The sequence below is a fragment of the Homo sapiens genome, chromosome 17 (assembly GCF_000001405.40).
Source record: "Homo sapiens chromosome 17, GRCh38.p14 Primary Assembly".
NCBI lineage: Eukaryota > Metazoa > Chordata > Mammalia > Primates > Hominidae > Homo > Homo sapiens.
Genome location: NC_000017.11, coordinates 69896703 through 69904404, shown reverse-complemented (window position 1 = coordinate 69904404; position 7702 = coordinate 69896703). Strand labels below are relative to the sequence as shown.

The window sequence follows — 7702 nt, the reverse complement described above, 5'->3', positions numbered from 1 at the left end:
GTTGCCCTGCGGCTATCTAGATGAAGAGTTTTCCAGGCGGAAGAAGCAGGCCTGAAGGCTGTGAGGTAGGAGCTTGCCTAGTGTGCTTGACGGAGAGGTAGAGGGGCACTGGCTAGAGAGGAGTGCGCAGGTCAGAGAACCAGAGATGAGATCGCAAAAGCAGGGAAAAAGGGTTGCAGGAGAGGAGGCAGATCATTGGCACCTTGAAGGTCATTGTAAAAACTTTGTTTTTTTCTGTGAAAGGAGAAAGCATGAAGAATGTCATGGTCTCACTTATTTAACAGGGTCTCTATGGCTGCTGGGTTGAGAACAAACTCAAGGACCTGGGAGACCACGTAAGGAGGCTATTGCCGTAATCCAGGTCAGCTACCATGGAGGCTGGAGCTTAGGTGTTAGTGTTACAGAGTCCAAGGACTTGCTGCCCGGTGCACTAGAAACCAAAAATATGACATTGGGTTTTTGAGAAAAGAAAAGCTTTTCATTGAGCTTTTCAAGGAGACAGGAGTTTAGCTCAAATCTGTCTCCTCATGCTGGTTTTACGGCAGTCATTTTATTACAAAAGGTTTACAAAGTGGATTCTGGGATTCATCTATGATGGGTAGAAGCAAAGGGGAGGTCTGGAAAGTCTTCTAGCACATGCACTTCTCCATGCTACCCCATAGATTGTATGTGTAAATTTGAGGGTGGAATTAGTATAAAACCTGCAGTGGAAATTTGGGTTGTGATGTCAACAAGCTGGTTCTGTGTGCAGACTCTAGCTGGCCAAATTGGTTTTAGCCAATTTTAGTCAGTTTTGACATCTTGCAAGCAGAAGGAGTTTCAGCCTTTCGGCAAGTTGTTTTTCTTTTCCTTCTCTGCCATCCTGCAAACTCAAGAATATTTGCTAGTCATTTTTTTAACTCTTTGGGGCACGGTTTCATTAGTGATCGAAATGAGAATTGTTCAGATTCCGGATGCTTACTGCATACAGAGACAGCAGGTTGTGCTGACAGATTGGTCATAGGTGTAATAACAAGAGAAGAATCAAGGAGCACACTAAAGGTTTTTCTCTGAGCAAGTGGAAGTATGGAGTTGCCATTTCCTGAGATAAGCCAAGACCAGTGCAGCTCCTGACGCACACCATGGACCAATAAATGTGAGATAAGTAAATCTCAGTTTTAAAGGATGAAAAATCGGAAGCTCATAGAGGTTAGTCTATTTGCTTGAAGTCATACCAAGACTAGGTGGCAGAGCTCGGAGGAAAAAAACAGGCCAAAGGTCCGTGTTTCTCCATGCAGCCATCTAAGATGTTCCCAAAGAAGTGAACCGGGGCCGGAGGGGGAGACCAATGGGCGGTCTGGTTTCCATTCTCAGCATATCATCGTTTCCCTTGCCCAACCTGGTTGAGGATCGGTCCAAGGGTCACAAACCAGCAACCTGTTAGCCTAATAAGAACTGCTGACATGTTTTGTTTGACTCGCACGGCTTTAAAAAAAACAATTCATGTTTGAATGCCCTTAAACTGGGCTTGTATTTTCCACTTCAGCCACAACACACACCGCTCCCTCTGGCTTAGAGCGGCGTCCTTCGGGATCCTGCCGGGTCCCTGAAGACATTTGATTTTTCAATCGGTGATTCAGACCAACAATCCAGTGGGAATTTAGCTGTGAGGCAATGCAGTGTGCTAGAAAAAAAAAAAAAATCATAATATCAGACAGCTATAGATTCACACCCAGCCTTATCATTTACCATGTGCGTGACCTTGAACAAGCTTTTCCTCTCCTTCCCCATCTGTAAAGTGGAGAGAACAGTATCCACTTTGCACTATTGTTGGGAGACCTGAATGAGAAAAGCTATATAATGTACACAGCATAGGAAACACTAAATGTATGGCCATTATTATAAAGCAGGGATCAGTAGGCTTTTTCTGTAAAGAGCCAGATATTTTAGGCTTTGTGGGACGCGTGATCCCTATCAGGACTCCTCAGCTCTGCCTTTGTATTATGAAAGCTGCCATGGAAAATACACAAATGAATAAGCATGGAAAAGAAAATCCCAGTGCAATTATATTTACAAACACAGGTGTGGGGGGTGGGGGAGGATTGGGGCATCATTTACTAATCCTTGTTATAAAGTGCAATGGTCTAAATGTTTGCATTCCCCCAAATTCATACGCTGAAATCCTAAAGCCCAGGGTGATGGAATTAGGAGGCCAATTTTAGAAAGGTGATTAGGTCAAGGGGGCAGAGCCCTCAGGAATAGGATAAAAGAGACCCCCAAAAGACCCTCACCTCTTCTGCCATGTGAGGGTACAATGAGAAGAGAGTCATTGTATTAGTTCATTTTCACACTGCTATAAAGAACTGCCCAAGACTGGGTTTTTTAATAAAGAAAATTGACTGACAGTTCTACATGGCTGAGGAGACCTCAGGAAACTTACAATCATGGCAGAAGGTGAAGAGGAAGCAAGAACCTTCTTCACATGATGGCAGGAAAGAGAAGAGTGAGTAAGAGCAGGGAAAACTGCCTTATAAAACCATCAGCTATTGTGAGAACTCACTCACTATCATGAGAACCACATGGGGAGAACTGCCCTCATGATCCCATCACCTCCCACCAGGTCCCTCCCTCGACACCTGGAGATTGCAATTCAAGATGAGATTTGGGTGAGGACACAAAGCCTAACCATATCAGTCATGTATGAGCAAGTAGGCCCTCACTAGATATTGAGTCTGCTCGTGCCTTGATCTGGACTTCCCAGCCTCCAAATCTACGAGAAATAAATTTCTGTTGTGTATAAGCCTCTTTGTTGTGATATGTTTGCTGTAACAGCCCAAACGGACTAAGACATAGAGGATTTTTATACCCCTCCTTATTCTGCTCTGTCACTTCCCCTCAATACCTCCCCACACCCCAAAGGAGCCCTTTAGTTATGGGGCAAAGACTTTTATACGCTTTTGATATAAGCTGTAAGGTGACATTACAATGATACTAGCTGCCATTTTCAAGTGTGCCCACCAGAAATGAGAAAGAAGGAAAAATCTTCAGTGGTCTTATTTCTTCCATGAAATAAACCAAAATTGATTTTCCTAGGGAGTGAGGCATCTCCAGCAAGGCCAGCCTTTCTTGGGTCAGATGTCTGCAATTACAAATTGAAGTGCTCTTCCCTGGACTTCCAGAATCTTAGGGACTCAAAGGCTTCCACGGGAAAACTGCTTCTCCCCAGCAGATTCAAGGACTCAAAAGAGATGGAGCAAGGTCTCCTGAGTGAAGCCTGCCCAGCGGCTCTGTCCCAACATCTGAAGGAACAGGAAGCTTCTACACCCTTGGCATTGAAGAGCCTCTGAGCAGCGATATAGCCACATTTCCCATCCTTTGACCTAATCAGGGCTTTGATTTGCAGGCCGTGAGGGAGAGGCTGCTGTGTTGTTCCCACTGGGCTATTTTTGGGACCTGGCATCAGAGGGAAGGACAGAGTTAGCAATCGGTACTCCTGGGCAGTGCTGAGCAGGACCTCTGCGTAAGCCCCGTAGTAAACTTAGGTCATTTCCTCTTACAAATCTCCAGAGTTAAACAGCACCAGAAACTCTGAACGAGGGTCAGATATGGAGGAAGCCGAAGGCTTCATTTTTATCAAGAAATCTTTTTTTTTCTCTCTACTTGCTTTCATCTCAAATTATCAGAAATAAAATTTGTAAAATAAAAGAACTTGCGGCCGGGCGTGGTGGCTCACCCCTGTAATCCCAGCACTTTGGGAGGCCGAAGCGGGCACACTATCTGAGGTCGGGAGTTCAAGACCAGCCTAACCAACATGGAAACCCCGTCTCTATCAAAAATACAAAAAAATTAGCTGGGCGTGGTAGTGAATGCCTATAATCCCAGCTAGTTGGGACCCTGAGGCAGGAGAATTGCTTGAACCCCGGAGGTGGAGGTTGCAGTGAGCCGAGATCATGCCATTGCACTCCAGCCTGGGCAACAAGAGCAAAACTCTATCTCAAAATAAATAAATTAATAAATAAGTAAAATAAAAGAACTTTCATGTTTTGGGAGAGCATAGAATGGAGACCAAATTAATACACAAAAGGACGAAACCTTGGGTTGGCAGGGAGGCAACAAAACCACTGAAACACTCATTGAGTTTCACTAACTCTTTCATTTTTTACCCAGGTATTAGCAGTTTGTTTCTAATCTAGGAAAAATAGGCTAAACTCGGCAAAAGGTGGTTCTACCTTCCTTCCACACTATGGGCAACAGTCCTAATGATGAGGGAGGTTACTAAGAAAGGAGACATCCTGAGTTGTCCTATGATACCCCTCAGAAGAGTCATCAGAGACACCACAGACTGCCCGTCATCAGGGCTGCCTTCATCAGTGTACATGCTGGACAGTCACACAGGAAGGATCTGGAAATCAGAAGGGCTCCGTGCTTGGTTTCCTGCTCTGCCATCACATCTTGAAACCCTTTATTATGTTTGACCTGTCTTCTCTTGCCCTTCCTTTCTTTTTTTTTTTTTTTTTTTTTTTTAAGACAGTCTCACTGTGTCACCCAGGCTGGAGTGTGGTAGTGTGATCTCGGCTCACTGCAACCTCGGCCTCCTGGATTCAAGCCATTCTTGTGCCACAGCCTCCCAAGTAGCTGGGATCACAGGCGTATGCCACCACACCCAGCTAATTTTTGTAATTTTAGTAGAGATGGGGTTTCACCACATTGGCCAGGCTGGTCTTGAACTCCTGGCCTCAAGCGATCTGACAGCCTCAGCTCCCAAAGTGCTGGGATTACAGGTGTGAGCCACCATGCCTGGCCTGTCTTCTCTTGTTCTTCTAAAACAGTGTTTCTCAACCCTTTTTTCCCCCATTTTCACTCTTCCAACAAGGCTTCTTAGGCATTTTTTTAACTAATCAATCCTCCCATGAAATTGTAATATAAGTACACAGTATTTCTGTTTATATATTTTATGTTTATGTTTCATACATTAAAAGAATAAGATTTTTTTGTTTCCCAATAAACAAATTTTTTTCCCTATTGGGAATGATATTGCACCCAGTGAGAATGCAAATTCAAGATCTAGGTAACACAACTCAACCACAAGCATCTATGCAGGAACACGAGTGAAAGTAATAATAATAATAATAATTAATATTAATAGATATATGTTATTGAGTCAGGCACCATTCTAAGTGCTTTACATTTATTAACTCATGTAATACTATTTTAAAATTTTATTCTAATACCCATTCTGCAAATGAGAAAACTGAGGCACAGAGAATTTAATAACTTGCCCAAGGCCAGTCACATAGCAAATGACAGAGCTGGAATTTGAACATGTGTTTCCTGGCTCTGGAACCCCATGAGAAGTGCAGGTTCAATTATTGAGCACACACCAAAAGGTGTACATTTCTCAGTATGCAGTATGCCGTTGGTAGACAGAGACCTTTTGAATAAAGACACGGTGACAGCTCATTGGCACGTGCTGGTAAATCTTCAACTGCACTAAAGCCTCTGCAGAAGAAGCAAAAGCTCTCCATGGGCCTAATGATGCACAATGTTCATGGTGATTTCTAATACTCGAAAAATGCTAAGTTTTCCTCGAGACGGGAGGTATGGATTTACAGCAAAATATTTCCAGATTGTCTCCTGGGACATGAGTTGGCCAATTCTTCTTTGCTTTCATTCTCAAAGAAATGCTGCAGGGCTTGAATTGGAAGAATCTTGAGTTTGGGGTTTTAACAACTTGTATGAACCTGGCAAAGTCACTTTTGGGAGCTTCAGTTTTCTCTGTAAAATAGGTGAATTAAATAATCTCCAACATTCCTTTAGGCTCTGAAGGAGACTTCGGTTAAACATACACAAAAGCAACAAAAACACAAGCAAAATAATTGTCATTACATAATTCTAGCAAATGTTTACTATGGGACTTGTAACCATAAATGGCAGAGTGAAGCAGTTGACACAAATGAATAAACAATTAGACAAAATCAGAGAGGGGAATAATAGAAACTCAGGGAGCATGTCTAACCAAAGGGGGTTGTCAATAGCCCACTCCTGCGGGCTGATGTCAGGTGAGAATATGGCCCCAGTGTCTACTCTGATTCTTTTTTTTTTTTTTCAAATGAAAGTGAAAGGCCGGACTCGGTGGCTCACGCCTGTAATCCCATTACTTTGGGAGGCTGAGGCAGGCAGATCACGAGGTCAGGAGTTTGAGACCAGCCCGCCCAACATGATGAAACCCTGTCTCTACTAAAAATACAAAAAATTAGCCAGGCGTGGTGGTGGGCACCTGTAGTCCCGGCTACTCAGGAGGCTGAGGCAGGAGAATCGTTTAAACCCATGAGGCAGAGGTTGCAGTGAGCCAAGATTGTGCCACTGCACTCCAGCCTGGACGACAGAGCTAGACTTTGTCTCAAAAACAAAAAAAGAAAAGAAAAAGAAAAAAGAAACTGAAAAACTAAATTCTGTGCACTTTGCTAATTTGTATATGTAGTCAACTGTGGTGGGCAGACCCAACAGAAGCTCCCATGATTCCTGATACGTTGTGTGACCCCCTTCCTTGGCTGTAGGATGAACTTGTGACTTGCTTCTAGCCAAGAGAATATGACCTAGAGGGAAAGTCTTTTTCTGGATGTAATTAAGATTCCAAGCCAGTTGATTCAGAGTTAATCAAAAAGCAAAGAATGATGGTGGATGAGCCAGACTCAATCAGGTGAGTGCCCTTAAAGGAGAAACTTGTCCCTCCCCGAAGTGAGATGAAGTAAGCAGCCATGGCAGAAAAGCCCACAGGACAAGCAACTGTGCCTCTAGGGCCCTTGAGCAGCTTCCGGCTAGCAAAATGTTAGAATCTTCAATCATACAACTGATAGCTGCACAAAGTGAATTTCATCCACAACCTGATTGAGGTTAGAAGTGGCTTCTTCTGGCCGGGCGCGGTGGCTCATGTCTATAAACCCAGCACTTTGGGAGGCCGAGTTGGGAGGATCACAAGGTCAAGAGATCGAGACCATCCTGGCCAACGTGGTGAAACCCTGTCTCTACTAAAAATACAAAAAATTAGCTGGGCGTGGTGGCACGCATCTGTAGTCCCAGCTACTCAGGAGGCTGAGGCAGGAGAATTTCGTGAACCCAGGAGGCAGAGGTTGCAGTGAGCCAAGATCACACCACTACATTCCAGCCTGGGCGACAGAGTGAGACTCTGTCTCAAAAAATAAAAAAAAGAAAAAAAGAAGTGGCTTCTTTCCCCTGGCGCCTCCAGATGAAAATGCAGCCTGGCCAGCCTCTTGGGTTGCAGCCTGGTAAGACCCTGAGCAGACTCGGCTAAGCCGTGCCTGGACTCTTGAGCCGTGGAAATGATGAGATAATAAATGTATATTGTTTTAAGCTGCTGAGTATGTGGTAATTGGCTACACAACAGTAGAAAACTAATACAGCAGCTTATTCAAATTTCCAAAAACTCTCTGTAGGCCCAACAAACCTGAAAAAGAGATGTGGTCCACGGGTAGCCATTGTGTGCTATGATTGCAAAGTGTCCCTAAAATGTTACGCATTGCATACAGTATTAGTCATTCAGAGATGAAAGGCAGAGTAGTGAGACAGAGAGAGAGATTTCACAATTCAAAACATTGTGATAACTGCAGGACCCTGGACTGTGGGAAGATGGACCTCAGGGAGAAACAGCTATTGGAACCTAATTGCAAACTGCATGAAAGCAGGAGCTGGCATTTTCCCATCT

At 44.0% G+C, this 7702-nt stretch overlaps 1 long non-coding RNA gene across 2 annotated transcripts in view; it reads right to left on the bottom strand.

Annotated features, from left to right (window-relative positions):
• Window positions 1-1404: 1404 nt before the first annotated feature.
• Window positions 1405-7702, bottom strand: part of LINC01483 (long intergenic non-protein coding RNA 1483) — a 309014-nt gene continuing 302716 nt past the window's right edge. For both annotated transcript variants that reach the window (NR_109971.1, NR_109972.1), the window contains one exon: window positions 1405-1663. This is a non-coding gene — a long non-coding RNA (long intergenic non-protein coding RNA 1483). The remainder of the gene's footprint in view (window positions 1664-7702) is intronic.